General features: G+C 37.9%; 1 protein-coding gene across 11 annotated transcripts in view; it reads left to right on the top strand.

The window, feature by feature from the left end:
• The window catches only part of NBAS (NBAS subunit of NRZ tethering complex), a 782,426-nt gene that overhangs the window by 202,429 nt on the left and 559,417 nt on the right, over nucleotides 1-20,580 (top strand). For all 11 annotated transcript variants that reach the window (XR_007076390.1, NR_052013.3, XM_017004317.2 and 8 more), the window contains 3 exons: nucleotides 2,490-2,603; nucleotides 5,196-5,353; nucleotides 6,825-6,914. Coding sequence is in view for 9 of the 11 variants with exons in the window: in XM_017004317.2 (XP_016859806.1) it covers nucleotides 2,490-2,603; nucleotides 5,196-5,353; nucleotides 6,825-6,914 (362 nt within the window). In the remaining 2 variants the exon portion in view is untranslated. The remainder of the gene's footprint in view (nucleotides 1-2,489; nucleotides 2,604-5,195; nucleotides 5,354-6,824; nucleotides 6,915-20,580) is intronic.

Raw genomic sequence — 20,580 nt, 5'->3', positions numbered from 1 at the left:
AACTGTGATCCCTTGAGCCCCAAATTATTTTCATTCTGTTAGCCTTTAGAAGGAAAAAAAGTCAAAAATTTAATGTAGATAGTGTGTTGGCTAGCATAGTAATTTTGTGGCTTTTGCAGATCACAGGCCGGTTGGCTCCTCACCTAATAAAAATGAACACAAGCCAGGTGTGTTGGTTCATGCCTCTAATCCCAACATTTTGGGAGGCTGAGGCAGGAGGATTGCTTCAGTCCAGGAGTTCAAGACTGGCCTGGGTCATATAGCAAGACCCTGTTTGTACAAAAAATAAAAAAGTTAGCCAGGTTTAGTGGTATGTCCCTGTAGGCCCAGTGACTCTGGAGGCTGATGTGGGAGGATTGCTTGAACCTGGGAGGTCGAGGTTGCAGTGAGCAGTGATAGTGCCACTGCACTCCAGCTTGGGCAACGGAGAGAAACCACATCTCTAAATAAATAAATACATGCACACGGGCACACGCGCACATGCACACATGTGTGCGCACACACACACATACACACACACACGGCCAAGCAGCTTTCCCAGTCAAGGCTTTTATTTTAGGGTTTGGGCTCAAGCACATGGGAGACAGCAGAGGCACAAGGACTCTGTAGACTCCCTGAAAAAAACGGTAGGGATTTTTTGTTGTTGTTTTTGATTTTGTTTTTAGGCAAAGAGCAGGAATTGATATCTGTGGTAAAGTATGCCGGCTGGGCTGGGCAGCGCAGGTGAGTGGTAGGGTGTGCAAGTGAGTGGTAGGGTATGCAGGTCGGTGTTATTTGGTTGCCATAGTTACCTTAAATAATGGGTCACTTGGTGGTCTGGCTGGTAGCAACAGGCCGCAGATCCATTTCCAGCCTTTGTTCCCCAGGAGAGACACTCCACAACCTTAGTTTGATATTTAGATTTTCTTAAGTCCATTTCCCAGAATTCTTTAAGTAAAAGGCATGGTCAAACATCATGAGAGCACAGAAGAATGGCCATTCTCTTGGTATGACTAAAGCCCCAGGGTTAGTGGTTATATTGCCAGCAAGATAGTGGTGTGGGTTTTGTGATCAGTCGGACAAGAGAAGACAAAAGAAAAAATGCTTGAAGGGGGAGCCATATCCCATTCCTATGTATCTCATAGTGATCCTGTTTACACAGGGTAAAGTTAATAATGTAAGACTTGCTTTAAAGATATTGTAAATTGTATTTTTCATCCTCATTTATATATATATTCATCTGTGTGATTGAGATCCATGGGTGCTGTTAATGAAAAAATTATCCCTGATGCATGTTTAAATGAGAGGCTGAGGCATGGGGATCACTTGAGCCCAGGAGTTTAAGACCAGCCTGGGCAACATAGGTTTTGACCTGTCTCTTCAAATGAATAAACAAAAAATTGTAAGCGAGACTCTGCACTATAGGTACAGGGACTACTGCAATGGAATTTTGCAGTAAGAGAGAGAAATTGGGCTTGTTAAAAGTAAACTTATGCTCATTAAAATTTTAAGGGTTTATTTTCAGCAGACAGCAATTCATGAATCAGGCAGCACCAAACTCACAGTAGTTCAGGGCTCTTCTGAGTGAGTGTGATGGGAAAATTGTATAAGGTGTTTGTGGACAAAGAAAATACTTGATTAGTTAATGTGGGTAGTCTCTAGTTGTAGTTGGTTGTTTCTGATTTTACTGTTTCCATTGAGTTGGGTTTTACTTATGTTGGAACCTCAGTTGGGGCAGATGGAAAATTACAAAGAAGAATCACTGTGGTAAGGAGGCATTCTGGTTAAACCACCTAACAGGGTACAAATTCTTGCCTGAGGGCTGGCTAGGGTGCCAGATAACATCTGGGGGTTGGTGGTGGGGATGAGGGATTTGATCAGATTACCAGGGATGACCAGATATCCAGAGTGGAGGATTCTGGCTACAACTGATAGCAGAAGTTGTGCTAAAATTGGGCTCTCAAGGATATGTCCAAGGACAGGGCCCAGTAAGGCTCAGAGGAGCCCAACGAGAATTTGTTAAGGAACAATCTTTGCCAGTGCTCTGGACAGCATTTGCATTCCAATTTCTAAATAGTAGTTGAATTTTTATGATGAGAAGTTTATTGCTGCATCATCTTCATCCGTTCACTTAATCTGCTGGTCATTATTTTTCAAGCCCTTTTTATAACCTGGTTTCTTTTGGAAACATAAATTTTCTTCTCTTTCCCTTACCCTGGTAATACCAAGACTTTTTTGTAGGGTTCCAAACTACCATGATTTTGGACTTCCTGGTTTGGGTATTTTAATTGGGAACTAATATTAATCATTGATCTCTTAGGAGACTGATGGCTAATTCCATGCTTCATAAGTGGATTGAAAGGTCAAAGCAACTTTTTCCTCTCATCATTTAAAATCCCTGTAATCTCTCTGTTTTATTTTTTAAGTAATTTGAAAGACAGTGTTAACAAGCTCTTCTATCAATTGACGTTGCTTGTCATAATCATTAAGTCCTTTGCTTGGACTTACAGGTGAGAACCCAGAAGAAAGGCGGGGACAGGTTCTAATCCTTTTAGTGGAGCAGGCACTTCGCTTCCATGACTACAAAGCAGCCAGTATGCATTGTCAGGAGCTGATGGCCACAGGTGAGTAGACAGCTTATTTAACACTTTGCTTATGTCCTCTTTATGTGATGGATAATGGAAAAGGTCTGTTCTGAAATCAATTGACCTGATTGGTAAGCCAGCCACATTGAGGCTTGAGATACATTTTATGAGCACTGGTAAGTATATAGGCTGTGTACTTATATGTTAATGTAAACATTTTAACAGATTCAGACATTAAATTTTATTTGAGATTTTGGTTGCTTTCTAGTCCCTATTCAAAACATGCTCGTAATTTAAAAATAATTTTATGCAAAATATTTCAATGCCATTTCCTGTATTTGTTATCTAAGAGAAAATTTAAATTTTTATATTAGTTTGTGTCTATATAGTCAATATTTCCATTCTTTAATTTTTTTTAAAGATAGTGTATTATTTCGTTCTCACACTGCTATAAAGAAATACCTGAGACTGGGTAATTTATAAAGGAAAGAGGTTTAATCGGCTCACAGTTCTGCAAGCTGTACAGGAAGTAGGGCAGCATCTGCCTCCGGGAAGTCTTCAGGGAGCTTTCACTCACAGCAGAAGGCAGAGTGGGAGCAGGAGGCTTAACTGGCTGGATTAGAAGGAAGAGAGAGATGGGGGAGGGACTACACACTTTTAAACAACCAGATCTCAACTCACTATCACAACGACAGCACCAAGTGGATATGATGTTAAACCATGAGAAATTGCACCCATGATCTAATCACCTCCCCCAAGGCCCCACCTCCAGCACTGGGGATTACATTTCAACATGAGGTTTGGATGGGGACACAGATCCAAACCGTATCAGATAGCATAGTGCTTTTCAAACCGATGTTGAGAAATTGGGAAGTGGTTTGCAACTCCAAAATTCTTCATATTGAAATTCAAATTCAAGTCTCTGCAGGATAATCAGATTTTATTGTAGAATAATTTCTCACGTAAAGAACACATTCTTCAGTGTGATAGGGAGTTTTGTTGTTGTTGTTGTTGTTGTTGTTTTCTTATCATGGGCTCTGTACTAAATTGTCAGCTTTCCATGGCTATGCTTGAATATGTGAAGAATATGTGAAGGTCCAAACACATCTTTCTACCCACTATCAAAGCATTAATTAGGGAGTGGTTAAAATGCAGGGCTTCACTTCATGGTGACTCATGGAGCTCTGCACTAATGATTTGTGCAACTTTCACATGTGTACTGTTAAAGAAAACATTATTCTGACACTTGTTAATAACAACAAGGACTATTGTGATGTGTATGAAGACCACTGCAATAGGGGAGAGAGATTGGACTCAACTCTGAATACAGCAAGGATAGCTGGACATTTGTAGCCAGCAGGCTAACTGAAGGGTCAGTGGGTGGAAAATTAAGAGACATCAAGGGCAGGGGATCCTTGCTAAAATGATTTAATAGGACCTTGCTGAAGGCTGGCCAGGATGATCAGATATCACCGCTGAGGGATAAGTAATTTGATCAGTCCTTGAGAATTTGAGGATTCTGGCTAAACTGACTTAGTAGGATTTTTGCTAAAACTGGAGTATGCAGCCTAGCAAGGCTGGGGGCCAAGGTTAAGGCCTAGCTGAGAAGAGGGCTCAGGGTTGTCTGATTTAACTTTGGTCACAGAGAGGATCTTTGGCTTTACATCTGTGAAAACATTTAAAACTCTTCAAAAATGATTCAATATATTACAACTTCAGCATTAGCAAATTGTTTTCATAAATGAGCTGTGTTCCATAATATTAACCGAGTGATTTTGCAACATTAAATTTAGAATAACTATGGCTGTCTGTGAAAATGTACTGATCTAAATTGTTCATATGGAGAGCTTTATAATGATTTTATTCTGGTAAGGGTAATAGCTGAATTAATTTTTACTTCACATATTTAGAAAAAAATTATTCTGTACTACAAGTTTTGTACTTAGACAAATAGGCCTAAGGCTGGAATTCCTTCAAATAAGAATAAAAATGTATTTTAAGAATTCAGAGTATAATGTATAGGAAAAAGATCCCTGCTGGGAGTTGGGGGGTGATTCGGTCACTGTCCTTAGATGTCTGTCTTATCTATAAAGTGAGTGATTCTGTATGGAGATCTATCATAATATCTCTTTTTCTAGCACTTTGCAGTTTACATGTGCTTTTAAATACAAATGTTACTTAATTCCTTCAACAACCCAAGAGGAAGGTGTTATTATTGTCCTTGTAGGAAAAGAATTGTGAGACTTTTGGCTCTTTCTTAAAGCTCTCACAGGAGTGCTAAGTAGCAGGGTTGCAGCAGGCCCTCAGATCTTCGGAATTCAGATGGCTGCCTTTTCACAGAACACCAAATCTCAGTAGATCATTTGCATTTATTGTCAGTTAATCTAAAATTTAACAGAGTTTGTCAGAAACACTTGTTTAGAGTAGCATTGAACTTTCTGGATAATAAACCACCCTAATCTTTCCTAGCTTAGATTCTTATCTGTTTCTGCTTATAAAATAATGTGTCACTAATGACTATGATTTTGCTTTGGTACCACAAGACCTGAGCAGGAAGCCATTGCATTTGTCATCTTAGATTGAATATTCTTCTTCTTTTGGGAATCATTTTTTTCCTTGCCAATTTTGCAGGTTATCCTAAAAGTTGGGATGTTTGTAGCCAGTTAGGACAATCAGAAGGTTACCAGGACTTGGCCACTCGTCAAGAGCTCATGGCTTTTGCTTTGACACATTGCCCTCCTAGCAGCATTGAACTTCTTTTGGCAGCTAGCAGCTCTCTGCAGACAGAAGTAAGTCCTTCGATAAAGGAAATCCTAACCTGTATGACGTCCATGTTGTTGGGTGTGTGTATCTGAGGTATGTGGTCACTTAAAAAAGTAGTATGAGAATTTTAATTTATGGAAGAAAACTAGATTGTCACTTATGGAAAAGGGACATGAAAATATTAGGATATAACATAATGTTGCTGGCTTTATAACAGCAAGGAAGAAAGGATACAAGACAGCCTTGAGAAAGAAAGAAAGTAATATTTGGAAAGAAATTATTGAAAATAATGGGGAAAGTTAGTGTTGTGAATTAAACATATGCTAAATGGTCATGTAAAATATGTCTGAAATCATATGGGTTAAAGCCAGTGGAGCAACCATTCCCTTAGGGATCCTTTGGAAATTGGGGATTGAGGTGGGCTTTGGTTGGGGGGGATGCTAAATTTCCTAAAATTCACAGAATAGATCTGCATAGGAGAGGATAGTGCCCCTGTGGAGAAACACTGTTAAATGTATGAGGAGAGTCTAGAATTCACATTTTCATCCCATAGTCATTCTCTTACAGTTGGTAGCTAGTCAGGCAGACATGAGCAAGACGGGAGAGGGCCCCCACACCCCACCAGGAAAGTCAGGCGACCATCAGATGGGTCAGGCAGTTGTCACACTGCCTCTCTAAGATAATAATTGGTTGCAGCCAGCACCAGGGAAAGACAGTTTCCCTATAGATAGAAAAAAACCCCTGAAACTGGTGATCAGCAGCTTCCTGATAAGATCTCAGGTGTTGGCCAGTGAGCTCAAGCATGTTCACTAAGAGGCAAAATGGTGGAGTTTCACTGGCGTATGACCTGTGAGGGCATTCCACCGGAAAAGGGAAGAACGCTGCAGCTGAACATGCATACGACTCCTGTAAACACACTGCGCACGCTCCCCTCCCATCACCAGCAGGCCATTGCACGTGTGCACAACCCACCCCAAGGGAAGAATCAGGAGAGAAGGGGCACAAGAACCTGGCAACGTGCCAGGATGTAAAGCTCTAAGCCAAAGGTCAAAACCCGCACTTGTCCTTCAAATCCCTCCCTTGGGCCTCTTCCAGGTGTATCTTCCTTCCTTTCATTCCTGCTCTAAAGCTTTTTAATAAACTTTCACTCTTGCTCTAAAACTCGCCTCGGTCTCTTTTTCTGCATATGCCCCCCAGTCAAATTTTTTCTTCTTTGGAGGCAAGAATTGAGGCTGTTCCAGACCTGAACACATACACTGCCTGTAACAATTCATTACATTGTATATCATTTTTTTCACACTTGATCCCCACTTCTGAAACCATTGCATCCTTTTGAAACTGTTTGTGAAGTCCTGAAGTAAGCCTGTTACCAAAACTAATCATTATGAAAAGGTAATTTTCTTTTTAAAAGTACTTTTTAAATTTCAAGCCTATATTGTGATGAGAAGCAAATTTAAAAACGTAACTCCTTTACAATATAGCCTATTCTTGTTTTAGATTCTTTATCAAAGAGTGAATTTCCAGATCCATCATGAAGGAGGGGAAAATATCAGTGCTTCACCATTAACTAGTAAAGCAGTACAAGAGGTAAGTTAAAATGAGGGAGCGGAGTTTGAAAGGTGGCTGAGAGTGGAATAAAGTGGGATTACCTAACCTTGTGGATGAGAGGGGTTTTGTGTGTGTGTGTGTGTGTGTGTGTGTGTGTGTGCATGCAGACCACTTTTCTTTTCAGCTTTTGTGTGTGTGTGTGAAATATAACATTCATATAGATAAGTATACCAAAAAATGTCCAGCTCAATAAATTATCATAAAGACAACACCCATGAAACTACAGGTAAAGAAGCAGTACCTAACCACCTTCCAAATCCCCCAGACCCTCTCCTTATTAAACTTCCTTTTTTTTCTATGGAGTCTCACTCTTTTGCCAGGCTAGAGTGCAGTGGTGTGATCTCCACTCACTGCAACCTCCACCTCCCAGGTTCAAGCAATTCCCCTGCCTCAGCTTCCCAAGTAGCTGGGATTACAGGTGAGCGCCACCACACCAGGCTAATTTTTTGAATTTTTGGTTGAGATGGGGTCTCACCATGTTGGCCAGGCTCGTCTCGAACTCCTGACCTTAAGTGATCCACCCTCTTCAGCCTTCCAAAGTGCGTGGATTACAGGTGTGAGCCACCATGCCTGGCCTTCCGTATTTCATTCCTAACTTTTCTCTCCCTTTCCAGAGATCACCACTGTCCTGACTAATCCTGATAACCAGATCTTTGTGACTTTTGTTTTTGTTTTAAATAATGTCGATACGTACCATACATACCCTCAATATGATAGTTTAGTTTTACCTGTTTTTGTATTTTATAGAAATAGTTATACTTAGTGTTATGTTTGTGAGATCCATTCATGCTGTTATATGTAGCTGTAGTTTATTCATTTTTATTGCCATGTAGAAATCAATTTCGGTGTGCATAGTACAGTTTATTCATATGAACACTGATTGACCTTGGTTTGTTTTCAATTTTGGTGACTAAAAATAATGTGACTGTCATCGTTTGTACATGTCTCTAGTGTACATGGGCAAACAGTTCTCTCAGGCATATATGTAGCACTGGAAATGTGCATTGTGAGATATGTATATAATTCAACCTAAATAGATAATGCCAAATGCTTTTGTTTTGTTTTACCAATGAGACTTTGAACAGTAGTGTACAGGATTGCTAGTTACTCCAATCCAGGACATTGCTATTGTTGGTTTCCTAAACTTTGCCTGTTATCCTAAGTGTTTAATGATACCTAATTAATTGATTTATATTTTTCTGATTACTAATGAGATGGAGATAGCTCAGGAGAGATCCTCTTTTTGAGGTACTTGTTCGATTCTCTTGCTTATTTTGTGTTGGATTTTTGTTGTGTTCCTTTTCCTCATTGAGATTCTTATGAATAAAATTGTCCGAACCAATTAAGTCTATATGTGTTTCAGAATCTTCCATCCTGGGAGACAAAGGAGGAAGAGTATGCTCCCTGAAACCTGTCTTCTTTTGGTCAGTGTTTGCTCCAGGGAATTTAACTTTTCATGACTGTTTCTAGAAACGTAGAATTAGCATTTTTTAGATCAAAGACAGTGGCCCGGTTTCTGACATCCCAGCTAGACAAATTAAGACGTGATGATTCTCTATATAGATTGGTTTTTCATGAGATTCCATCAAATGGTAAGCTTCACTTTCACAGTGTAAAATATCCTTTATTTTTCTTGTGACTATTTTGGGAGACACCTATTGTGGTAAGTGAACTGCACTAACTTTTTTTTTTGCTGTATCCATCTTGACAAAGTCATTAGTATTTGTGTACTCTACTGTTACTTTTAGAACTCTGGTACAAAGCTTCAGTTGTGGAGTCTATTGGTGGAATTAGGGCAAAGATACTTAGCTTTTGCCCAGAGTAGAATATATGCAACTACCCCATTCTCACAACTCTTTTTTTAATATTAAAATTTAATTTGGTGAACATGGATCTAATATGCGTGTGTATTCCCAGTTCAATACTAAGTAATCTGATTATCTCAAAGAGGGTTGTAATGTTACTTTTTGCCCCTATGGAATTTTCGCCTCTTCCTCCTGCAGTGATGACTCTAGGACAGCACTGCCAATAGAACTTTCTTCAGTGAAGGAAATATGTCATACCTGCACTGTTCATCATTGTAGCCACTGATCACACAGAGCTATTGAGCACTTGAAATATCACTAGTGCACTTAAGGGATCACATTTTAAATTAAATGTATTTAATTAATTTATTTATTTTTGAGATGAGGTTTCACTCTGTTGGCCAGGCCGGTCTTGAACTCCTGGCCTCAAGTGATCCACCAGCTTTGGCCTCCCAAAGTGCTGGGAATACAGGCGTGAACCACTGCATCCAACCTTAAATTGTATTTAATTTTATTTAATTTAAATTTAAATAACCACATGAGGCTACTGTCTACCAGATTGGACATCAGAGGTCTAGAAGATGCACCATTCAGTGGAGGATGGCATTCAGCCACCAGCACTGCAGGCAGTAGACTTCTTTTGTTGTTGTTGCACTCACTCCCTTCAGATGGCAGCCATAGCATTTTCTAGGGTCCTAGAGTGATATGGATACACTTTGTCCTTTGGCATGTTTTGATTTGTAGTTGTACTGACTAGCAACTATTGTTTTCCCTCATTGGATGTGAAAACACATTACATTTCTTTGCTGTTCTCTCTGTGGGATTCAGAACAGTTCTTATACTAGCTAATGGGTCACTAAATGTTCCATGTATTAGGAGGAGTTGTCTTTCAAGGTCCAATTGAAGACCTAGTTTTCATGAGATCTTTATCTGAAGTTTTGTTCCTTTTGAACCTCTGATCCCTCCACAACTTGTCCAGTCACATCTCCTACTCTGCCTGCCTCCAGCATCATCCCTTTTCATGCCTTTCAAACATCTGTTATGTTCCAGTGGTGGGGAACATATCACCATTTTCTGTGCAGGCACTTTGGTGCCTTTAGTGTTATTTTATAGAGTTTTCTCTCTGTTTGGAGGACACTTCTTATCTTGTGCTCTTGTGCTTGTCTTGTGCTCTTATCCCTTCCATATGAAGTATTTTCTTTGTGAAGTTTTCCTTGAGTCCTTTAATTGCCCCGTTCTCTATATTCCCTAAGCATTCTCTCTCACTGTTCCGTTTTAGCACTTTACGGTGTGACGTGGTATTGTCCGGTCACTGGAGGTATGCCATCTCTGTGTGCTCTTATTGTGCTTCTCAATTAGTGAATGCCTAGTTAACTTTTCATAAAGCTCAGTTGGAAACACCAACTGCATAATGATCAGTCAGTGGTAAAAATAAATTAGGAAGTGGATTTTTTTTTTTTTTCCTAAAATGAATTAGGAAGTGGATTTTCAGTCATCATGTGGTGCTACTGAGGTGCTGTGATGTTTTGGCCAGTGTGAGGAGTGTATCATTTTTCTGTTGAGCATGGAATTGCAATGTGTTTGCTAAGCTCAGCTTTATGAATTATTTGGAACCCGCTTGTTCTTTCCAAAATCTGTGAAAAGCCTTTTGTGACTTTGGGGACTTCTATTTTCTGCTTCTACAGTGAATTATAAAATGTCAGCCTGGCCTCTTGGTGGCTTCTTTGCAGTGGGCCATGCTGTGTTACTGCAAGTGGGCACATGTTACTCTATTAAATCCCGTCAGTAAATGAAGGAGACCACTGGTAGTCCTCTACAAGTTCCACTTAGCAAGGAAAAGGAGTTCTTCCAAAATGATTGTCTTTTGCTTTTCTTTTTAAGCCTCTTAAAAGCTTTCCTGTCTGCCTTTGTCCCCTTTCAGCAAATTGTAATAGATCTAGATCTCATGAAGTGCTAGTCCAAACCTGCAATGCACGCATTACGGCTTTGATTTATGAGGCACATTTCAGAATGTTATAGCTACTATCATTAGGTTAAAATATAGTGCTTAGCTATAAGATGCCGTGTGTTACACATTAACAGTAGATATAATAACCACATTAAATTATAGCTCATAAATGAGAGATGACTTTATGTGTAATCTACTTTAATACTTAAGACTTTCATTACTTCACTTGTGAAAATAATGATTTTTATTTATATATCCAAGCAAAATAAAGATGTAATTGTTATGCAGTAGCATTTATGTTAGTACAAATGGAGCCGACAAGTTTGAAGATATTGCTGTTGTCCCTGTGAACAGGATGTTTGTCTATAAATAGAACAAAATGCATAATTTGTGAATAACTACCAAAATTACAGATTTCCAATTTCTTATTAATGTTGGTCATTATGCTTTTTAGATGGAACAGTATTCTACCACTTAGAGTATATTAACATTTTGTTTAGCTAGTATTAGGTATATCACTTAACCAATGGTGTTTTCTCTAGATAAATCTAATTAGAGTTAGAAATGGATTGTATACAAGGTTCCCATTAAAAAATCATTTGCACTGTGGGAAAGCTTGTTATGAGCATTTTAAGTGGCTACAGATTTATACGACTGGACTGATTAATGTTTAAAACTTGAGCATGGGCTAAGTATAGAGCTAGTTTGAATTTGTAAAATTATTGTTTAGAAATATTTAAATAAAAGTGAGCAGAATGTCAGTTATATTACAGTATCTTGGCCAGCATTTACTTCTTCCATTCACCAGTTGGTGGACATTTGGGTTGTTTCCATTTCTTAGCTATTTTGAATAATGCTGCTCTGAACATTGATGTAAAAGTCTTTGTATGGAAATATGTTTTGATTTCTCTAGATGTAGAATTTCTGCATTGTTTGTTATATTATGTCTAACATCTGAAGAAACTGCCAAACTTTTTGTTTTCCAAAGTGTCTGCACATGTTTTACATTTCCACAAGGAATATGTTAAGGTTCCAGGTTTTCTACATCCTTGCTAATGTGTGTTATTAACTGACTTTTTTAAAAATTTATTTTACTTTAAGTCCTGGGATACATGTGCAGAATGTGCAGGTTTGTTACATAGGTATATGTGTGCCATGGTGGCTTGCTGCACCTATTGACCTGTCATCTAAGTTTCCTCTCCTCTCCCGCAACCCCTCAACAGGCCCTGGTATGTGTTGTTCCCCTCCCTGGGTCCATGTGTTCTCATAGTTCATCTCTCACTTATGAGTGAGAACATGTGGTGTTTTGTTTTCTGTTCATGTGTTAGTTTGCTGAGGATAATGGCTTCTAGCTTCATCTATGTCCCTGCAAAGGTCATGATTGCATACCTTTTTATGGCTGCATAGTATTCCATGGTATATATGTACCACATTTTCTTTATCCAGTCTGTCCTTGATGGACATTGGGTTGGTTCCATGGCTTTGCTTTTGTAAATAGTGCTGCAATAAGCATATGTGTGTATGTGTCCTTATAGAAGAATGATTTACATTCCTTTGAGTATATACTGAGTAATGAGATTACTAGGTCAAATGGCATTTCTGGTTCTAGATCCTTGAGAAATTGCCATACTGTCTTCCACAATCATCGAACTAATTTACATTCCCACCAACAGTGTAAAAGCATTCCTATTTCTTCACAGCCTTGCCAGCATCTATTGTTTCTTGACTTTTAAAATAATCGCTATTCTAACTGGCGTGAGATGGTATCTCATTATGGTTTTGATTTGCATTTCTCTAATGACCAGTGATGTTAAGCTTTTTTTCATGTGTTTCTTGGAGGTGTAAATGTCTTTTGAGAAGTGTTTGTTCATACCCTTTGCCCACTTTTTGATGGGGTTGTTTTTTTTGTTGTAAATTTGTTTAAGTTTCTTGTAAATTCTGGATATTGGATCTTTGTCAGATGGGTAGATTACAAAAATTTTCTCCCATTCTGTAGGTTGCCTGTTCACTCTAATGCTAGTTTCTTTTGCTGTGCAGAAGCTCTTTAGTTTAATTAGATCCAATTTGTCAATTTTGGCTTTTGTTGCAATTGCTTTGGCGTTTTTGTCATGAAGTCTTTGCCCTTGCCGATGTCCTGAATGGTATTGCCTAGGTTTTCTTCTAGGGTTTTTATGGTTTTGGGTTTTACATTTAAGTCTTTAATCCATCTTGACTTAATTTTTTGTATAAAGTGTAAGGAAGGGGTTCAGTTTCAGTTTTCCTCATATGGCTAGCCAGTTCTCCCGCCACCATTTATTGAATAGGAAATCCTTTCCCCATTTCTTCTTTCTGTCAGGTTTGTCAAAGATCAGATGGTTGTAGATGCATGGTGGTATTTGTGAGGTCTCTGTTCTGTTCCTTTGGTCTATATGTCTGTTTTGGTACCAGGACCATGCTGTTTTGGTCACTGTAGCCTTGTAGTATAGTTTGAAGTCAGGTAGCATGATGCCTCTAGCTTGATTCTTTTTGCTTAGGATTGTGTTGGCTAGATGGGGTCTCCTTTGATTCCATATGAAATTTAAAGTAGTTTTTTCTAATTCTGTGAAGAATGTCAGTGGTAGTTTGATGGGAATAGCATTAAATCTATAAATTACTTTGGGCACTATGGCCACTTTCACGATACATTGATTCTTCCTATCCATGAGCATGGAAATAGTTTTCCATTTGTTTGTGTCCTCTCTTATTTCCTTGAGCAGTGGTTTGTAGTTCTCCTTGAGAGGTCCTTCACATCCCTTGTTAACTGTATCCTAGGTATTTTATTCTCTTTGTAGCAATTATGAATGGAAGTTTATTCATGATTTGGCTCTCTATCTGTTGTAGGCATAAAGGAATGCTTGTGGTTTTTACATATTGATTTTGTATCCTGAGTCTTCGCTGAAGTTGCTTATCAGCTTAAGGAGTTTTGGGGCTGAGATAATGGGGTTTTCTAAATACAAAATCAGGTCGTCTGCAAACAGAGACAATTTGACTTCCTGTCTTCCTATTTGAATACCCTTTATTTCTTTCTCTTGCCTGGTTGCCCTGGTCAGAACTGCCAGTACTATGTTGAATAGGAGCGGTGAGAGAGGGCATCCTTGTCTTGTACCAGTTTTCAAAGAGAATGCTTCCAGTTTTTGCCCATTTAATGTGATATTGGCTTTGGGTTTGTCATTAATAGCTCTTATGATTTTGAGATATGTTCCATTAATAATTTATTGAAAATTTTTAACATGAAGGGATGTTGAATTTTATCAAAGGCCTTTTCTGCATCTGTTGAGATAATCATGTGGTTTTTGTCATTGGTTCTGTTTATGTGATGGATTACATTTATTGATTTTGTATTTTGAACCAGCCTTGCATCCCAGGGATGAAGCCAACTTGATCGTGGTGGGTAAGTTTTTTGATGTGGTACTGGATTCGGTTTGCCAGTGTTTTATTGAGGATTTTCGCGTTGATGTTCATCAGCGATATTGGCCTGAAGTTTTCTTTGTTTGTTGTGTCTCTGCACAGTTTTAGTATCAGGATGCTGCTGGCTTCATAAAATGAGTTAGGGAGGAGTCCCTCCTTTTCAGTTGTTTGGAATAGTTTCAGACGTAATGGTCCCAGCTCCTCTTTGTGCCTGTGGTAGAATTTGGCTGTGAATCCATCTGGTCCTGGGCTTTTTTTGGTTGGTAGCCTATTAATTACTGCCTCAATTTCAGAACTCATTATTGGTCTATTTCCGGGATTCACCTTTTTCTTGGTTTAGTTTTGGGATTATGTATGTATGTGTCCAGGAAATTATCCATTTCTTCTAGATTTTCTTGTTTATTTGTGAGAGGTGTTTATAGTATTCTCTGATAGTAGTTTGTATTTCTGTGGGGTTAGTGGTGATATCCCCTTTATCATTTTTTATTGTGTCTATTTGATTCTTCTCTCTTTTTCTTATTCTTTCAGCTAGCAGTCTATTTTTAACTGGCTTTTTGATAGAATTTTTTTTATTAAAGCCATTCCTATATATGTGCTATCTCATTATGATATTTGTTTGATATTTATATCCCAAGTAACTAATGATGATGAACTCTTTTTTTTTCATGTGCTTATTGGCTGGCTATTCTTATACTTTCTTAATGTAATGGTATTCAAATATTTTACCCATGTTTTAACTTGGTTATTTGTCTTATTGAGCTGTAAGAGGTTTTTTATTTTGTTTTGTTTTTTAACATCTTGCAGTCAAGTGTTTTTTTTTTTTTTCAGATTTATGATTTTAAAGTATTTTTTCTCTCAGTGTATATTTGACTTTTTGTTTTCTTAATGCTGGCTTTTGAGGTACAAAAAATGTTTAATGTTCCTGAAGTTTTGTTTATTAATATTTTCTTTTATGTATTATACTTTTGTTGTTATATCTAAGAAATCTGTGCCTAACCCAAGATTGCAAAAATTTACTCCTGTGCTTTTTTTCTGAAAGTTTTATAGTTTTTAGTGCTTACATTTATTTATTTACTTATTTAAGTAAGAATAAGTTGTCCCTTTTTTGAAATAAGTATAGACTTGAGGTATATCCATCTGTAAAAAGGTGAAATTAGAACTTTACCTCATATCACAATAAAAATTAATAGAATAATGTTTGTTTTGTTTTCTTTATCTTATGATACTTATTCTTTCTTAGTAGATTTTAAATTTCACATTTAGTACACACAAAGATGGCAAATGAATTATTTTGAAGTTTTAAATGAAATAATTTTATTTGGGCTGAATTTTTGTTACAATTATTGCTTTATTAATTTTTCCCCATGTGCTCTGGAATTTTGGTTTGCAAGCTAATTTTGAGTGATGAAACATCATTCTGTCCCACCTTCCTCATCTAATGATTCTGTAGTATTGTGGTTTCTCTCTGCTCAGTCCTGTGGCACTTCACTCCAGAATATGTCCACTGATAGTTTTTCATATGACGTTGTTTCCCCTTTGTAAGGTTGAGAATATGAGAATGCATACATGGAGCCAGTGAAGGGATTGTCCTAGTTCCTTTCAGCCTTGTTCATGTGCTCTTCCTCCTTAGGCCCACATCTTGTGTAAATGCATAGCCTGGACAGTAAATCTGGATGAAGTTTTTTCTTTGCAGGGTATGCTTTTGATTCATGGTTCTTCTCTGGAAAGGAGAACCTGATAGCCACTCTTGATATCTGAATTCTGAGCCCCAAAATGTTGAACTCTATTGAACTTGGGTGTCCTTTGATTTTTTTTTTTTCTGTGCTCAGTATTTAGAGCACAGTTAGTGTACTCAAACAGGAGTTTACCATCCCATGTTGACTGGAGTTTATAATGTTTTCTTTAGTTACAGAAATAATGCAAGCTTTAATTTTAATAATTCATTTATAGGGAAATAAGGGATATTGACATTATCCGGCACACTATATTTCTTGAAAGTAAAAGAAATTAGATGTGAAACATCTATGATAAAATAGATACATGGATATATGTATAACTTTATACTTTCTGCTTTTTTAAAATATAAAAATAATTTAATAAACAATACATTAATATATGTGAAAGACAAAGTTCTCTCTTTTTCCTCCCTCTGATCTTTCTATTCTCTGATCTTTCTGAGCCCCATGAATCCCACTGCTTAGATATAAACATTTCTAACTTCATATGTTTCCTTCCATATTCCTAAGTACAGACAGATTTTCTGTATAGCTTCTCCTCTGTCTCCTGGAGGTTTATTATTTTGTTTTGTAAACTAAAATGAATTCATACTGCATATATTATTTTGCAGCTTACTGTTTCATGTAATACTGGTATGTGTCATTGAATCTGCCCTTGTGATTCCATATAGACCATTTACATAATGGCATCATGGTATTCATTGGATGCATGTACCATGATTTATTGTTTGATTTATTTATTTTTTTGATTTATTTATTTTATTTATTTATTGTGTGATTTATGTATTGTTTCCTTTGCTTTTGTACATTTAGATTGTGTCCAACTTTTCTCTATTTTAGACTAAACTGCACTGTGCATTCTACGTACACATCTTTGTATATTCATGCTAGTGTTGCTCTGCAATAAAATGGTAGAAATGGGCTCCTGGGATAGGTAATTTCCTATTTTCTTGTGGTTTATTTTTATAACTTTGTGTAAATGCTCACTTTGTTTTGTTTACTGTTGATACCAGCACATCACTGGAAGCATGGTATGTCCTCATTAATTTTTGTTCAGTTGTTTTTTGGACAGTATTGCCTGATAAGTGTTCTCTGTGGAAGATTCAGTTTACAGTGATCATGACATCAGTGATCTGGATGGTAACACAGTGCCAACACAATTCAGAACATCCATTTCTGCATTTTAGTGAGCATATAGGTCTGACCAAAGAAGGAAATACTTTGCTCATTGTCATGCTTCTGGGATAATATCTTTACTTATTTGATAGCTTGATATGCAGGAGTGTGAATCATGATATTGATTAGATTGGCAAATCTACATCATAGATTTCCATTCTTCACAAAGGTTTATACTAGTCGCTTCCTCTTTTAGCACCACTGTTAGAATTTTATTCTTTCTTCTATCCCGCTGTTTCTTCATAAGGCCCGTGCATTTCTGATATATTTTTTATATTTTAAAATAACTGTGTTTGTAATAAGCAATACATTTTTGTTTTTTATCTATTGTTATTGAGTTATTAATTGCTATTTAAATTCATTTGCAAAAGACATTTTCCAAAAAATAAGACATTCAAGTTTTCTATCTTAGTTACAGTGTAATCTATGGGTGTTAACAGTTTTCTTTTACTTTATTTATTTATTTATTTATTTATTCATTTATTTATTTATTAGAGATAGTGTCTCGCTCTGTTGCCCAGGCAGGAGTTCATTGGCACTATCTTGGCTTACTGCAACCTCCGCCTCCTGGGTTCAAGCAATTCTCAAGCATCAGCTCTCTTAGTAGCTGGGATTAAAGGTGTGTGCCACCATACCCGGTTAATTTTTATATTTTTAATAGAGACAGGGTTTTGCCATGTTGGCCAGATTAGTCTTGAACTCTTGGCCTCAAGTGATCTGCCCACTTCGGCCTCCTAAAGCACTGGAATTACAGGTGTGAGCCACTGTGCCTGGCCAGTCTCCTTTTACTTTTAAGGAAATACCATAATATTATTTAGCCCTGTAGGGTCTAAAATGTACCACTCTGATAGATGTTCCCTACATTTCTTTAGTTTATACTTAGTATTGGTAACATCTTTTTGTTTTCTCTCATTATCTTTCATCTACTCTCCATGGGGCCTTCTTTCGTCACCATTTTACCAGAACAGCTTGTGCCTCGGTCACCACCAGTGACCTCTTGTTGCGAAGTTCGTGGGTCAAATCTCAGTCTTTGTTTTATTTGACCTATAAGTAACATTTGACATACTTGTTTCAGGGACATCTCGGTCGTCTTGTTTTTCTCAGACCTCACTGGCCACTGCATCTCACTGTCTTTGCTGGTTTGTCCTCATCTCCCCAGCTAAATGTTAGATACCCTAGGTCATAGTCTTTAAACATCATCTCTGTCTACACTCATTCCTTAGATGCATTCATACATTATCCTGACTTGAAATAATCGACTTTGTGCTGATGATTCCCTGCTTAATAGCTCTAGCCCTGACCTCTCTTCTGAGTTCCGGACTTGAATGTACAGCTGCCAACCTAACATCTATAGTTAATTTCTTATAGACAACCCAATCTCAATATGTTAAAATTGAACTACTGATTTCAGCCCTCTTCCTCTCCCCACCTACCACATCTTGCCAAACAATGACCTTCTTTCTGCAGTTTTTCCCATGTCACGAAATAGAACTCTTTGTAGGTGTTCGTACCATAAATCTTTTGCTGTCATCCTTGATTCTTCTCCTCCTCTTTGGGACATCGTGCTGACCCACCTTTCACAGTGGACTCAGAATTGGGCTCCATTTTACTATCACCACTGCTACCACCCAGGTCAGATTATCATCATATCTCCCCTAGAGTCATAAAGTAGTGTCCTGTTTGTCTCCGTGCTTCTGCTTTTGCTATAGTCAATGGTCAACAATATAGCCAGAGTGATTCTTTCAGAATACATCAGATCATGACACATTTCTCAAAACCTTTCACTCAGAGTAGAAACTAAGGCTTTATAGTCATCTACAAGGACACCCATGGTCTCTTTTCTCCACTGTTAAGCTTTAATGTTGGACTTTATTTTCCTTCCACCTCTTCCCTGCCCCCAATATACACATTCATTTTGCTTAGCTGACTCTAGTCATATTGGCTTTTTTTTTTTTCCTTTTTGCCATTCTTTAAGCATTCCCAGCAAGCTGTTGCCTCTGGATCCTTCTACTTGCTGTATTTTACCTGGAATGTTCTTCCCAAATATCTGTATCCATATGACTTATCCTCTCACTTCCATCAGGTGTCTGCTCAAATGTCACTTCATGGAGATCTTCCCTGCTCTTTCTCTGTGTTATTATGGTGTTCTCACCCAGCCACACCGCTTTATTTTTCTTTCTAGCCCATATCAATATGTATAAAACTTATCTGATATGCTTTTCTGACATGCTTTTCTGACATGCTTTGTATTTATTTTTGCTTGTCTTTTACTGGATTGTAAGTTCTTTGTAGCAGAGACTATTCATATTTTGGTCAGTTTTGTATTTCCGGAATTTACAACAATGCCTGTCACAAGTTGGTGTCATAAATATTTGTGGAAGAATGAATGAGTAAATGAGGAAAGTAAGATATGGATGTGATGAGTGGGGTAAGTTCTGCTGTGAAATGGGGAGGAATAGTTGAATGGGACCCTATTTGATAATTTCTCAGTTCATTGGTGAAATAAGGCAAATTGCCTTATTTTCCCTTCTTCCCTACTGTACCATGAGTTTCTTAGGAATAGGGGTCATACCTTAATTGTCATAGTAATCCTGTTGCCTAGCGCTGGGTCTTAAACATAGTAGGCATGCCAAATTATGTGTTCAGTAAACTTACTTTGTGGGTTCATCTAGAACCCAAAGTCATTTATCAAAAGTAATTTTAAAAATTGGGCATGGAAAAAAAAATATACCTTATACACCTCTATTTTTTCCAGAATGTAGGTTTCATAATCTGGATCTAAGAATTCTAGGACATCCAAGAAGGGTTTGGCCTCTAAATCCCCTGAAATAGTATGCTTAATATTGATTTTTAAAAAATTTTTTAGAGACAGGGTTTGGCTGTGTCACCAATGCTGGAGTGCAGTGTGGTGCAGTTACAACTCACTGCATCATTGAACTCCGGGGCTTAAGTGATCCTTCTGCCTCAGCCCCCCAAGTAGCTAGGACTACAGGCGCATGCCACTATCCCTGGGTAATTTTTATTTTATTTATTTTAGATACGGGGTCTCAATATTTTACCCAGGCTGGTCTCGAACTCCTGGCCTCAAGTGACCCTCCTGCTTCAGCCTCCCAAAGTGTTGGGATTACAGGCGTGAGCCACTGCACCTGGCCAGTATACCTAATTTGATGTGTGTGTGTGTGTGTGTGTGTGTGTGTGTGTGTGTATGTGTGTGTTTGTATTCATGTGAGTGCACATGCATGTTTGTTAAATTTTCTGGGGAAAGGGCTCAGCTTCCATGAGACATGTACAGGAGTCCATGGTCCCTAAACATGAGAGCAGCTAAGCTGTAGCCTTGCCTGCTAATTGGCAGATGAGATGAAGCAGAGTCAGACTTTAGAGTGATTTACTCCATAGAGTATTTTTCTATTGCTTGTTCTGACAGGTATTTCTAAAAGTAGTATAACCAGTAATAAGGATTGCATGCTTAGTATTTTGAGTTCAGATGAAATTTGCTATAAGTAAGGGTTAGGTGGAGGGAAGTACTTTGGGTTATTTAAGGCTATGTTGGAGGA

This window comes from Homo sapiens, chromosome 2 (genome assembly GCF_000001405.40).
Source record: "Homo sapiens chromosome 2, GRCh38.p14 Primary Assembly".
Lineage (NCBI taxonomy): Eukaryota > Metazoa > Chordata > Mammalia > Primates > Hominidae > Homo > Homo sapiens.
The sequence above is the reverse complement of the archived record's forward strand: the minus strand, read 5'-3'. Positions and strand labels throughout refer to the sequence as shown.